Source organism: Homo sapiens, chromosome 10, assembly GCF_000001405.40.
Source record: "Homo sapiens chromosome 10, GRCh38.p14 Primary Assembly".
Lineage (NCBI taxonomy): Eukaryota > Metazoa > Chordata > Mammalia > Primates > Hominidae > Homo > Homo sapiens.
The window spans coordinates 132512866-132527276 of record NC_000010.11 but is presented as its reverse complement, the minus strand read 5'-3'; the positions used below and the strand labels follow the sequence as shown (position 1 = coordinate 132527276).

At 55.3% G+C, this 14411-nt stretch overlaps 1 long non-coding RNA gene across 1 annotated transcript in view, besides 4 other annotated features; it reads left to right on the top strand.

Moving 5' to 3' along the window:
• Positions 1 to 14411, top strand: part of LOC107984282 (uncharacterized) — a 28480-nt gene that overhangs the window by 9647 nt on the left and 4422 nt on the right. Inside the window, exon 2 of the long non-coding RNA NR_158224.1 lies at positions 2671 to 9160. This is a non-coding gene — a long non-coding RNA (uncharacterized LOC107984282). The remainder of the gene's footprint in view (positions 1 to 2670; positions 9161 to 14411) is intronic.
• Positions 8575 to 9082: an enhancer, noted in NCBI's record as "H3K27ac-H3K4me1 hESC enhancer chr10:134331699-134332206 (GRCh37/hg19 assembly coordinates)". NCBI's record gives its function as "activates a minimal SCP1, AML or CMV promoter by ChIP-STARR-seq in naive H9 embryonic stem cells {active_cell/tissue: H9 hESC(naive)}" and the evidence as "EXISTENCE:reporter gene assay evidence [ECO:0000049][PMID:30033119]".
• Positions 9591 to 10098: an enhancer, noted in NCBI's record as "H3K27ac-H3K4me1 hESC enhancer chr10:134330683-134331190 (GRCh37/hg19 assembly coordinates)". NCBI's record gives its function as "activates a minimal SCP1, AML or CMV promoter by ChIP-STARR-seq in naive H9 embryonic stem cells {active_cell/tissue: H9 hESC(naive)}" and the evidence as "EXISTENCE:reporter gene assay evidence [ECO:0000049][PMID:30033119]".
• Positions 10099 to 10607: an enhancer, noted in NCBI's record as "H3K27ac-H3K4me1 hESC enhancer chr10:134330174-134330682 (GRCh37/hg19 assembly coordinates)". NCBI's record gives its function as "activates a minimal SCP1, AML or CMV promoter by ChIP-STARR-seq in naive H9 embryonic stem cells {active_cell/tissue: H9 hESC(naive)}" and the evidence as "EXISTENCE:reporter gene assay evidence [ECO:0000049][PMID:30033119]".
• Positions 10608 to 11115: an enhancer, noted in NCBI's record as "H3K27ac-H3K4me1 hESC enhancer chr10:134329666-134330173 (GRCh37/hg19 assembly coordinates)". NCBI's record gives its function as "activates a minimal SCP1, AML or CMV promoter by ChIP-STARR-seq in naive H9 embryonic stem cells {active_cell/tissue: H9 hESC(naive)}" and the evidence as "EXISTENCE:reporter gene assay evidence [ECO:0000049][PMID:30033119]".

Sequence of the window (14411 nt, the reverse complement as noted above, 5' to 3'; positions counted from 1 at the left end):
AGCTTGCAGTGAGCCGATATCGTGCCTCTGCACTCCAGCCTGGGCAACAGAGCGAGACTCCGTCTCAAACAAACAAACAAACAAAAAGTTTTAAGGGAAGGCCATCCAGCTCCCATGATCAACATTGCTAGTGCAGGGGATCACTTTTCAGAGGTTCTCTACTCAGCTGTCACTTCTATTTTGCAACTCTGTATTTAATAATTAAGCTTCATAAAGATTCATCTCTGTTGTCCATTGCTCAAATCTTCAGAAGACTTTGAAAGCATCCTTACGTTGTTTTAAAAGGAAGACACCCACAGGAATGTCGGCGTTTCACCAGTGCCTTCGGGAGCTTCGCCTCCTTTCCTCTGGGCTCTGGGACTCACGAAGGCTGCAGTCCTAACTGGCAGCGAAGGGAAGATGAGTCAGCAAGCAAACGTGAATAAATGACTCCACTCCACGGAAATGTTTTCACGAGAAAATACTACTCTAGTACACGTTTATATTATTTTGAATAGTGAGTGGTCTGCTCAAAAGTGAATGTCGGCCGGGCGCGGTGGCTCACACCTGTGATCCCAGCACTTTGGGAGGCGGAGGCAGGTGGATCACCTGAGGTCAGGAGTTTGAGACCAGCCTGGCCAACATGGTGAAACTCTGTCTCTACTAAAAATACAAAAATTAGTTAGGCATGGTGGTGCATGCCTGTAATCCCAGCTACTCGGGAGGTACCACTGCACTACAGCTTGGGTGACAAAGCAAGAATCCATCTCAAAAAGAAAAAAAATCAAGTGAATCTCACTGTATATATACCACATATTTTTGTCTATTAAAGTTTATTTCTCAATGACTTGATTTTGTCAACCAGCTACATTTTTGCTTTGGTGGATGTGGGTAAATAACTCGCCATCAGCCATGTTATTTCCTTTACCTTTTTTTTTTTTTTTTTTTTGAGACGGAGTCTCACTCTGTCACCCAGGCTGGAGTATAGTGATGCGATCTCGGCTCACTGCAACCTCCGCCTCCTGGGTTCAAGCGATTCTCCTGCCTTAGCCTCCCGAGTAGCTGGGATTAGAGGCGCATGCCACCATGCCCAACTAATTTTTTGTATTTTTCAGTAGAGACGGGGTTTCACCGTGTTAGCCAGGATGGTCTAGATCTCCTGACCTCGTGATCGGCCTGCCTCGGCCTCCCAAAGTGCTGGGATTACAGGCGTGAGCCACTGCGCCCAGCCTTATTTTATTTTTTTAAATAAGTCATCTACACTTCTTAAATTTATTTCTGGGTATGTTAATCTTTTGTGTTTCATTGGGAATGGGATTGTTGTCTGCCGTGTATTCAAACTGGTTGAGGTTTATAAATAGAAATGCTACTAATCTAAACATATATTTAATATTTGAAAACTATCACTTCCGGTTTTCTCTCTTTCATGATTTATAGACATTCTCTTACAGTTTTCAGGCGGGCAATCACATTAACACGTTTGAAATGAAGGTTTCCACGCTATTTAAAGATAAATCAAGGTATGCCCAAGAATGAAAAAGACATGGTGACTTTTTTTCAAACCACAAGTACATGTAGTTAAACTGTTTTATTTTTTGAAACGTGAATCCATCACAGTGTTTGCTTTGCAATGTGGACTATCATCATGTATGTGATAATGATGTAACTTGAGGATAAGAGATTTCGAGCAATTCTTTAAAAATGAAAAGCCCACCTTACTCCATAAGGCTCAGCCCTCCCCTCTCAGCACCTCCCCGCATGGCTGCTTTTGCTTTTTGCTTTGCCCCACTCATCCAGTTTCCTTCTGCCAACGCTAACTTGGGCTGGCAGGATTAATCTGCCCAAAATTTATCAGCAAAGTTGCAGATGGTACAATTACCCACTCAGCAGCTGGTATCCCCACCTTTCAACTTTAAAATGAGTCTAGGATCAATTAGTAGAACAGTTGTGTTAATTAAAAGATTCATTCAGAACTCAAAGCCTGCTTAGAAGCTGCAGATTCTGCCTTTTCCAGCCAAAGCCCGAGAAACAAACCGGGAATGAGTCCTTGGTATTTCAGGGAAAACGAAGAACCGGCCTTCTGACCCCATTGCTGGGCACCTGCCCAGCTCGCTTTGGGTGAACTTCTCTCTCTGTGGCCCCTCCAGGCTCTGAGGTTCTTGTCCGCCCCAGGAAGGCATTCCTCTTCCAGCTTGTTCCCAGCCTTGGTCTGTAGGTGACTCTGGGGCTTCCAGTGTCCTTTCTCCACTGAACACCCAAGGCCAGCAGCACCTTGACAAGGGCAAGGGAGGGACACATCCAGAGAGCTCCAGGCAGGCTCCGATCTCGGCCTGGGCAGATTTGGGGAACAAATAGCAGGGGTGGCTTTGGGTAGACTGTGGTCTTCCTGGAGCTCAGAGTCTAAACTTGTAGGAATATACCGTTTGCTCCACTTCTAAACACGCACCTCCAGTGTAGACAAAGTCGAAGGTCCTGGTCTCAGCCGACCCTCAGTGTTTCCTCAGCCGGACTGCTGGGACCTGTTTCCTCATCTCGCCCACAGAGCACGGTCTCCAGAGAAGCTTCTGAGCCTCTGTCCTCCTGGGCCAGAGGAGAGAAGGCGATTCCTTGGTGCAGACAAGGGCTCAGTCCTCCCGCTGGCCCTGGGGAGAGACCAGACCCAGCCCTCATCTCTTCTGTCCTCCATTCCAGGAGTCCACCGGGTGCCTCCCACAGTCTCAGCCGTGAGTGCCCAGCAGTGTTTGTGATGTCCCCCGCTTTGTACGAGCTGCTGTCCTGAACAGCACCCCTTCCACTGCCTTCTGGAGGGGCTGCCCGCAGAAGCGGGCAGCTCAGCTTCATGCCAGGCACACCAGGCTCCCCTCTTCCCTTGGCTTCCCCTCGAGCCCAGCCAGAATCAGCCTGTCTGCTGGATCCCTCTCCTCGGCACCTTGTCCCCACCTTTGCTGGCTCCTCTGGGGCTGCACTGGTCCCTAGGCTGTGTGTGATCCAGGGTGCCCGTGGGGTCCCCTGGGCTCCACTGCCCCAGCTGCTGTGAAGGACAGACTTCAGTCGTCTGGGACCGGGACCTGTGGCAACAGTTCTCCATGCTGGAGGCCCTTGTGGCATGGAGGCAGCTGTCTACAGAAGGAAAGATGACTGTAAGCAGAGAAGCAAGAGAAAGAGACGGGAACAGGTGAGCGGTGCTCCAGAAAGCTGGAGTCTCAGAACAGGGACAGAGAGGGACTGCAGACCCACATGGAGAGAAGACAGAGAGAACCGAGAGGGTCTGACTTCATCATGGAGGCCTGGCCCAGCCCTGCCTGTATGGCCTGGGCCCCCGGGGCCAGTCTGCTGTGGGTGCAGCCGCAGGTCTCCAGCTCCCTTGCAGCTCCTTCAAGCTGGCACCCACCCTGAGGTGCTCTGTCAGGGAGGTCCCAGCCGCCAGGCTGGTGCACTGGAGGGCCTGTTTCCTCATCTCAGCCTCAGATCCTCCACACCCTAACAAGCTGGGAGCAGAGACAAAGACTTCAACCACTCGTTCATGTGACGGTGTGACCTGGCAACTGCTTTTCTGACCCAAATCAGTGAAGGTGGGAGCTGGGGTGTGGGCAGCAGCCACCTAGTGAGAAAGGATGTGATGGGTTTTGGCCACAGGCAGTGTTAATTGCTTATGATGTTAGTTAGGCCCATGAAATGGGGCTGGGGGCAAAAGCTTCTGAGTCGAGGGAGAAAACCTGCTCGGTGGATGCACCATGCTTGTGCCGATTTGGGGGCATAGTGGGTGTGTCTGTCAGCCCAGAAGAGCTTCACTAGGTCCTTCAAGAGCCTTTGCTGAAGGGACATCACCCTCGGTGCAGGCGAAAGCACCAGGGGCCCGCAAGGGGCAGGAGTACGGCCAGGGGTGAGGTGGCCGAGCAGAGCCCAGGGATGGCCTGGTGTGGAGGAGGGCCACCTGCCTGAGAGGGTCAGGACAGCCCAGGACAGGGACAGCCAGGAAGAAGTACCCAGCCATGATCAGGGCCCTCCGGTGGGCTGACCCCAGCTAGAAGTCAGCAGGCCGGTGTGCCTGGGCTCAGCCTCCAGGACCACAGCAGAGGGGACAGGGTGGCGGGACCAGCAGGAGATCAGCTCTGTGGGCATCACCCATCCCCTCCCAGACCTGGGGTCCTCTCAGCTGCTAGCAGCCTCTTAGGGGCAGGGAGGGTCCCCACATTCTGTGTGCTCAGCGCCCCACATCTGAGTGGATGAGGGTGGCCCCTGGGCGCCTGGGCTCTGCAGGCTGCTCTGAAGGTGCTGGGCGGATGGGAGGGCTGCACTGTGGCTGGAAAGGCCTCCCTTCTCCCCCGGAGTCATGGGGTCTGCAGTCCCCTGGGGTGGCCCTCGGCCAGCCAGGCTCAGCAGAGGCTAGTGGTCAGCTGGGAGGTGACTTCTTCTCGTGGGGCAGAATCCCATTAGCCCTGCATGAGATGGGCTAATGGGTGCCTCTGAGAGCCAGCTCAGGAACATTCAGTTCCTGCAGCCCCTCCTCCTAGGAAGTCCAGCAGAGCCAGGGTGCTGCCTCGGAGCTGGCCCAGGGGTGCAAGGTGGGTGACTCTCGTGCTGAGGCCTGGATATGGGCTGGCCAGCCCCACCAGACCGACTCCTGGCAGCCCCCAGCCAGCCCCCTGTACTTGTTCCAGACTGGGCAGAGGCTCAAGGGTCCTCCCTGTCCAAGGACAGACTCCTCCAGGAATGAGGCTCCTTCCAGCCAACAGGGCCAAGCCTGGTTGCTGTAATGTCAATCTGCGTGCCTCTGCCTCTCAGCAGAACTCCCCAGCAACGCTCCCATCCTGGTCCATGGGCCACCTCTCCACATCCTCAGGCTCCAGCAATGCACCCTCAACAGACCCATGGGGGCTCACGAGCTCCCAGCAACGCACCCTCAGCAGACCCACGGGGGCTCACGAGCTCCCAGCAATGCACCCTCAACAGACTCACTGGGGGGTCACGAGCTCCCAGCAATGCACCCTCAACAGACTCACTGGGGGGTCACGAGCTCCCAGCAATGAACCCTCAACAGACCCACGGGGGCTCACGAGCTCCCAGCAATGCACCCTCAACAGACTCACTGGGGGGTCACGAGCTCCCAGCAATGAACCCTCAGCAGACCCACGGGGGCTCACGAGCTCCCAGCAATGCACCCTCAACAGACTCACTGGGGGGTCACGAGCTCCCAGCAATGCACCCTCAACAGACTCATCGGGAGGTCACGAGCTCCCAGCAATGCACCCTCAACAGACCCACGGGGGCTCACGAGCTCCCAGCAATGAACCCTCAACAGACCCACGGGGGCTCACGAGCTCCCAGCTATGCACCCTCAACAGACCCACGGGGGCTCACGAGCTCCCAGCAATGCACCCTCAACAGACTCATTGGGGGCTCACGAGCTCCCGGTCCGAGGCCTCCTTTGGCAGCAGGGACTCAGGAGGGAGAAGAGTGAGCCCTTGGCCACATGGTTGGTCAAATCAACTCCTAGAGGTTGTGACCCTTCTCTGCTGTGGCCTTCACCAAACCACGCATGTTGGGTGGAGGGGAAGTGGCCTCTGTGGCTGCCCCAGCTGGCAGAGTGTGGTCTGTCCTGCTCTAAACTGGGTCCCCAGAAGGCACTGCTCTCCAGATGGGCTGGTGAGACTCCTTGGTGTCCAGCTGCTTATGACCAGCACAGTTAGGGGCTGTCGTCAGCACCGCCACTGGTACCTGCAGAGCCGAGTCCACTCCTGGGGCCGGCTGGATCAGGGTGCAGCCAGGGTGTGGGGCACCAGGGAGCTCTCCGGGACCCCCAAAGCCAGATGCGGCCCTGTCCACTCGTGCTCTGTGGACGGAGAAGGCAGAGTCCCAGGACACTGTGCTCAGGAAAGCGAGCTCCAGAGGAGGCTGAGGAGATTTGGGAGTGCCCAGGACAGCCTGGCCCTGTGCAGGTCCATGGGAAAACCTTCCACTCTCCCCTTTCAGGGAGGTCTGGGGGCTTGGCTGCCTCTCAGCGGGCCAGGGCGACTTCTCATCATTTCCGCAATGGATGCAGCTCTGGCCTGGGGGGGTGGGGAGGAGCCTCCAGCCCTGGCCCCTCCGCCCCAGCCCTCGCTAGCGGCATGACTGTGGGTGAACGGCGGCACCTGAAAGCCTCAGTTTCCCTGTCTGTGAAGGGATGCACAGTGTCAGTTTGACCCCCGGAGGCTGCAGTGAGGACGGGGCCCAGGAGGTCAGGAGAGCAGCCCGTTTCTGGCCAGGGCACCGTGGTGTTTGTGGAACACAGCCCCACTGACTTCAGCTGCTGGGGCAGAAAGAGCCGTGAGAAGAGTCGATCTCCCAGGGGCTTCATGTGTCTTTTTGCTGCATTTTACTCACACACGACCCTCCTAGTCCATGTAAGAGAAGATAAGTTTATGGAACAAACCCAGTATTTACTTAACTTTTAAAATATAAGCTTCACAGACCAGCGTTACATAAAAAGAAGAGATGCTTTCTGGCCAAGCTTTGCTCCTTGCCGCGTTTCCCCCGCTGTCTTCTCATGGAGCTGAGAGCAAACCGCTTCCAACCTCGGAAAAGGTGAAACAGAGGCCGCTGGCGCTATTTTAAGCATGAACTTACAAAGTAAAAGCAGCTGTGACATGAAAGTTTTAGGAACATTTCCATTTCCTGGAGCGATGGAACAGACAGCATTGCCAGCAGGTCCTGAGCAGCCGGAATCAGCTGCTTGGATGAGTGGGGCATCCAGGCCTCCGCAGCCCAGCCTGGCACTGCGAGGCCCCGGCTGTATGTAAGGGCCGAGTGTCAGTAATTCATCGTGGTTGGGGAGATGGGCCAAGGCTGAGGTCGGTGTGTCCAGCCCGGGTTCACCCCCTGGGCCCCATCATATGCTGGGCTCTGAGGGGAGAGGATGGTTTTAACATGGGCCCTGCCTTAACCCTCTCAGAGCCTGTGTGCGTCTGGCCTGTGTGCCCATTCTTCCTGCCTGCTGTCCCCATCCCTCCCTCTAGCTGAGGCCAAAGTCCTTGATGGGGCCCCAGGAGACTCATGGGGACCCCTCTGGCCTTCCTTGGCTCCCTACTCCCAAGGTTCCCAAGGTGCCTGCCCAGGAGGCCCCCAGGGGCTGCAGTGGGGGGTGATGACTCCATGGGATCCAGGCGTACATGGCTGCCTTGCTGTTGCCTGTGGGCTGAGCCAGCTCCGGGGCCTTCACCCCCATCCTGGGCTGGAGAGGGTCCCAGGGATCACCTCAGCGGCGCCCGCCTGGGGGCCCAGAGGCAGCAGCACTTGGGCTTGGGGCTGCGTTTCCTGGGGGCGCCCACGGACAACACTGCCTCCTGGCCCCGGGGCTGGCGTCCCCTGGGTGTTCACCATCCATGATGGTGTCCCTGGCAGACCCGTTCCAGGGGATATCCTTGTTAGTGTTTGGGAAGTCGAAGCAATCGCAGCTGTGCCCCGCCCAGCACAGGGAAATCTGGGGACAGAGCTGCAGAGGGAGTTGCTGTTTCCCTCCAGGCTTCCTGAGGAACTGGAACCGGAGCCACCCCAGGCTGATCATGGGCCGGAACCCAGGTTACTACAGACCTCACTCTCTTTCCAGAAGGTTCCCGGGATGCCCCGGCTCATGTGCTGTCTGGACCCAGAGGCCGTGTTCTCTTGCACGAGGCGTGAACACCTCCTCAGCACGGAGAGCTGATCCTGCTGTTTGGAGCGATCCCAGAGTCCAGCCCTCGGGGCAGGCTCACCTTTGAGGCCGTGGGAGGGGGTTTGAGGTCAAAACATAGAAGCATCCACGGGGCCTCCTGCCCTCTGACCTGACCTCCCTCCTGGGAGTTAGCACGAGGCCACAGTGTTGTCTCTGGGGCTTCCCCGGGGGAGCTTTGCTCATGGACACGGGGACCAGGCAGCATCTGGGGTCCCCGCTGAACATTTGGTAATGAACATGGCAGTGCTCTTCCCAGCACCCTCCCCGGAGCAGACAGACCAGGAGGCAAAGTCTGGGCATGACAACACTGTGTCCGGACACCAGAGGGGGAGGCGGCTGTCCAGAGAGGCTGCGTCTCCTCCATGGGGAAACAGCCCCGTGCCTGACAACAGCAACACAGCCTCCTGGTGCCGGCCCCACAGCTCAGGTGCTCTCACCACCTGGAGGAGTAGCTGGGATTACAGGAAAGGAAAGAGGAGCCCAGCAGGGGTTAGACAGGGTTAGCGGCTGCTGGGGAGTGAGCTGGCCAGCGGTCTGGGAAGTGTGGCTCGTGCCTCCGACCTTCACCCCGCAGAGGCCCTGAGTCCCTTAGGGATAAAATCTCCACCGATCCTTGTAGGTTTCACAATGTTAAACAAGTGTGCTCTGTGACCTGGTGTCTTCCTCGGGGATTTGTCCAGAAAACAATCAGAAGGTGGGCAAAGATACAGGCCCAAAGGCACCTCGGCTGCTTGTTTCAGCGGCCAAAAAAGCAGACGTGATATAAATGTCCATCGGCAGGTCTGGGTGGAGCAAGTTACGGCACCGGCCCACGTGCCCTTCAATGTAGGCGGGGCTTCTCCAGAGGGAGGAGCACAGAGACACGCCAAGCTGTGCCCGGACCAAATCACAGGTGCACTTGGCCTCACGCCCGCACCCCCGCCTTTTCCTGCGCTGGCCTCCATAGCGGCTGTAGGAACCGCTAGGGAAAGGTCTTGGGGGGACACAACCTGCTTTTACTTTTTTGTAGTTTGTATTTTTTACAAGGGGTATCATTTTTATAATCAGACAATACATGAAGCTACTTTCAGGGTCAACCATCCACACGAACTCTGAGTCTCTGCGTTTGGGGCCGGGCCCTGCCCCCAGGGTCTCTGCAGTGGAAGGACTGGAGCTGTGTTCTGGGTCCCACGGGCTGGAGGCAGCGCTGACTGGGTTGAGCCTGGGGCTTTCTCTGTTGCAAAAGTGCACCCTCCTCAGATGGGGATGGGGAGTGGCCTTCACTAGGGTGGTCCTCCTGGCTGAGCAGGGCCGGCCCAGGGGAGGGCGGGGCCAGCACGTCCCCAGAACAGTGCCTGTCCAGGGGCACAAGGGTTCACTGAAGACTCAGGAGAGGGGTTTAGAGCACAGCCTCCCTCTCCAGGGTCAGGTTCACGGGAGCTGTTGGGGGCTCCTTCCCTCGCAGCAGTGACCACTCCAAGGACCACGGCCTGGACATGAGCGGCAGCGGTGAGCTGGGAGCTGCTGGCCTGGTAGCTATTGTTTCCATGGAGACAGGGTCTCGGCTCAGGTGTCCTGGGGACGGCTGCACCCTGATGTATCTCACACCCCTGCAGGCCCCACGTCAGTGGTTTCTGGGGACAGGGTGCAAGGCTGGCTTTATGGGGGTGCAGCTAGGGCCCAGAGTGGCTGCCCCCAAGGCCCCATACTTGCCCCGAATACTTAGTCATTGTTGAAGGGTGGCCTCGCAGTTTTGTTTTGCACTGGGCCCTGCGTGAGCAGTGGGTACAGAGAGTGAATCCAGAAAAGGCCCCACAGACGTGGGAGACTCCCCAGGGTGGGCAGGGGAAGAAAGTCACCCTCCTGATGGAACAGCAGGTCCTCGCGGGGCAGAAAAACCAGGAGCTGCCCCCGTACAGTGCCTGGTCATCCCTGGGAAGCGCAGGAAGAAGGGGCGTGTGGGTGGGAGTCAGGCTGAGGGCGCAGCCCCTGCCCTGCCCCCACCGGAGGGACCCGGCTTGAGTGTCCAGGGCCTGGTGACCTGGCAGCCCCACAGCCTTGACCGAGCCCCTCCCTCTTCCGGGCTCTGAGAGGAGAGGCCACCCCAGGAGGAGGCCCTGCCGCAGCCTAATAATAACTTCCCGGCTGGTCCAGCGAGCGCCAGCGCAGGCTATTTTTAGAGTCCCCTGGCCCAGCCCCCATGTGACTCAGCCAGGCCAGTGCTGGGATGAGAAAGTCACCCTCTGCGTGGGATGCTCCAGGCGGCCAGTGGGCAGCCCAGGCCCAGGGGGAGGCCAGCAGGACCTCAGGCCTGTGGAACCTGGAACAGCCTCAGCCACCCCGCCCCACCCCCCGCTGGCCTCGGCTCCCTCCTGGCTCCCTGCCGGCTCCTCCCCCAAAGCTAGCTTGGAAAATCTGATGTCAGAATTCCAGCTTCCGCAGGAATGTGGCCCGACCTTCACCTCCCGGAGGAGCCGCCTTGTTGAGGCCTGAGGGGCTGGCTTGGATCTCACCCCTAGGCGTGCCCTGGCACCTGAGAGCCCTCTTTCCAACCAGCTTGGGGCCACCTGCGCCCCCCGCCCCACTGTGGCCCTGGCCAGACTAGTGCCTGCGTCTTGCCCTGCTACTGAGCGCCCCAAGGTGCCACGCGGCAAGTCCCCGGGCTGGTCTCGCCCCAGCAGCCATTTGTCGGGTGCAGCGGTCCGGGGGAACTTGTCTCTGGGACGGTTTCTGGAGCAGGTGACTTGGGTGCCTGTGTACCTGGGAGCCAAGGGGGCGGGTCCCTGCCCCAGCCATGTGTCACTGAATCACATGGGTAGGGAGGCCCCTGATCCTGCCTTTGAGGTGAGGGGAGGGTAGCAGGATCAGGAGAGAGCTGTGTGTGTGTGTGTGTGTGTGTGTGTGCACGCGTTGTGCACTGTGTACTTGCAGATGCATGCTGACGTACATGGTGTGCATGTGTGTACATGCATGTATGAGCACATATTGTGTGGATGTGCACATGTGTGTGCACTGTATCTTATATGCGTATGTTTGCTTGTGCACAGCACACATGTGTGCATTGTGAACATGAACTGTGCATGTATATATACACGTGCGTATGTGGGGTAGCCAGTCCCTTGGGAGCAAACCGTTGCTTCCTCAACGTCTTCTGGTCACAAGGAAGCACTGAGTGATGCGTCTCATGGCCAGGCACCTTCCCACCACAGCCGGAGCCCTGCACAGGCTCTCCAGCCCAGATCCACAATGCCTCCTGTGAGACTGGCAGTCCTCATGCCCCGGGTAGAAAGGGGAAGAGGGAGACCACTTCACAGCCAGGGCCAGCCATAGGGCAGAGGGCAGAGGACAGAGGGCAGAGGGCAGAGGACAGAGGACAGAGGGTGGAAGGCAGAGGGCGGTGGCTCTGCTGGAGCTGGGACACTTGTTTCTGCAGAGGCATGGGCACTGGGGGGCCCCTCCAGAGTCAAGGAGGCTTTGTAGTAGATGGAGAGAGAGCCGACCACCCTGGCTGGAGCTGGGGGTGCAGCAGAGTGAAATGAGACACCCAACACCCCAGTTCTCCCTCACCACTTTCCCAGTGGCTCAAGTGGCTTTGGGCACTGTCCCCTTTGCAAGCAGGAGAACCATGCAGGCAAGAGGTGGCAGCCAGGGTCCCCGGCCTCCCCAGCCTCCCAGCTCTGCCAGAGCTCCCAGGTGCCTTCCAGCTGTGGGACACATTGTCCTGACTGCCCATAGCTCCTGGGTGCCATCCGGCTGTGGAACATATTCCCGTTTATTTCCCAGAACGAGGTCATTCGGGAAGGTGGCCGTTGCTGTGCGAGCCCTGGACTCCCAGCATGGGAGCCGTCCCTGGTTGGTTTTCTCTGCTTCAAGCGTTAGGGTACTTTTATATGTAGACAAGAAAATTGCTTCCTGGGAAGATGGATGATAATAGGAAATTGTACCTTGTAGATCCCACATCTTTTTTTTTTCTTTTTGACTCCTAAGTCTGGCTTTAATGAAACAAAGGAAAATAAAAAGATCTATAAAAAGCGATTCATATTTTCTAGAATGAAAGCATTATGTTGTTTTTCATTAACTTCAAAATCTGTTAGAGAAAGGTTTCTGTTTTAAAGATCAGGCTGGCTGCCCCGGTTGCAGACTTCCTCTTTAAACTGCCCACTGAGGTGCCCCTGGAGACGGGAAAAGCACAAACCCATAACACCTGTGGAGTCCGAGCCCCAGGTCCACCGTGAGACTCTGGCAGGACTTGCAGGCAGCTGCAAGACTGGCGGAATTTGGTGGAAAACATGCTTGGCGGCCCCTCTGCTGTGCCTCCGCCACAGAGGCTGAGGCCAGAAACACAGACGGCCTTGGGCCCACCCCGCTCGTTGCCTCCCATGCAGGAAGCCGAGGCCTGTGTTCATCAGAGCTCCAGTCAGGGCTGCTTTGGGGGCAGCTCTGCCATTTCCCCAGGTGCCTCTTGTGGTTCCACCCCTTCCGAATCCAGGCAGGGATAGTGGCCGGGGACCTCCTCGTGGGGCCACACAGACCCCCTGCCTGAAAGCGTCTCCAGGAGAGGCCTCGGGCCAGGCCAGAGGGAGAGCCTGGGAGCCGTGAACACAGGGCTCTGCGGCGTTTTTGAGTAGGAGCAGACAGAGGGCTTGGAGGACAGAAGAGCTGAGCCAGACATGGATGGGGAGTCCCTGGGAACTGGCTCCCCCAGGGGCTCCATCCAGCCAGGGCTTCCGGAGGGTGCACCAGCCCCAGGTGGGCCCCAGAGGAAGGAAACCCATATACGTGTCCTGTTTTTGTCAAATGCAGAGCTGATCATCTTACACACATGCACCACATACACACACACACAGCACACACACCACACACATACCACACATACACACACCACACATATACCACACATACACCACACACAACCCCACACACCAATACATATGTGCATACACACACCACACACACACATGCACACACACCACACATCCATACAGGACACATTCATACATATACATGCCACAGACACACTCACCACACACCACACACACTCACATACGCACACCACACACATGCACACACAGCACACATCCATACATATACACACCACACACACACCACACACCACGCACATACCATACACAGTCATATACACCACACATGTCACACACACATACTCCTATACATACGTGCACACACCCACCACACATGCACACAACGCACATTCACACAGACCACACACACACCACACATATCACACACATATACCCCTATATATACATGCATACACACCACACACATCATGCCACATGCAAACCACACATATACACACATACATACCACACATACACACATACATACCACACACACACCCATACATACATGCATACACAAACCACACACATAACACACACACACCCCTCATAAGCCCTTCCTGACATCCACACCAGGGAGCTCATATATAGTCCTAGGTAAGAAACTGAAACACCGTCATTCTTCATTCTGATGGAAAAACAGCAATAAATTTTAAAATGCATGGCAAATAGAATCCAGAAAATTAAAGAAAATATAAATAAGCAAAATTATAATTATAACACCCAGGCAATTAAAATATGAAAATCTCAACAAAATAATTTTATAAAAATATAAATTAACAAAATCTCCTCAAGAAGCATGAGAAAAACTAAACAGGCCAATAACAATGGAAGGTGTTTGAAAAATGCTGTCTAGGAATTACCTCTAAATACAGGTTTCATGGATTGACCTTTCATACATTTAAAGAACAAGCAATTCTCAAGCTATGTAAACTTTTCTGATAAGAAACTCCTTTCTAATTCATTTTATGAGGCCAGCATAACCTTGATTGAGACACCAAACTCATTCAAAAGGAAAATTATTGACCACTCAGAAGCAAAAATTATAAATGGAATCCTGGCAAATCAAATCCAAGAAAATAGGAAAAGAATATGATGTCCAAATATGGTTTATCCCAAGAATGCAAAGATAGTTTAATTTCAGGAAATTAATAAGCTCTACAATAGTCAAAGGTGAAAGAAAAAAATCTTATCTCAATGAGTTACAAAGAGGGATTTGAAAAATTCCAAATCTACTCTTAATTTTTTTATTTTTTTTTATGAGACAGAGTCTCACTCTGTCACCAGGCTGGAGTGCAGTGGTGCAATCTTGGCTCACTGCAACCTCTGCCTCCCGGGTTCAAGTGATTCTCCTGCCTCAGCCTCCTGAGTAGCTGGGACTACAGGCATTCGCCACCATGCCCAGCTAATTTTTGTATTTTTAGTAGAGGCAGCGTTTCACCATGTTGCCCAGGATGTTCTCGATCTCTTGACCTCATGATCTGCCTGCCTTGGCCTCCCAAAGTGCTGAGATTACAGGTGTGAGCCACCACGCCCGGCCTATTCTTAATATTCTTAAACAGAATAGAATATGGAGGAAGAAAAAGAGCATTTGCTAGGACAATGGTGACCACAGCAAAAGCTGAACGCCAGGCTGGAGGCAGCCCATTGATATGCAGGTTCACGTGGTGCCAAGTCAGGGAAACCAAGTCACAGTAGCTGGAGCGAGAGAGGGAATTTACCAGAAGGCTGGCTGGGCATCTCACATGTCCAAGAGAAGAGTGAAAGGAGCCATTTGTCTGTGGGAGCCATGAGCTTCCCCCATGGAGTCCTGCTGTTGGTAAGCTCAGCTCCTGGTCTCTGTGTCCCTGAGCTCAGATTCTAGTCTGCCAGCAGGGTCTGAAAGATGGACCAGGGAG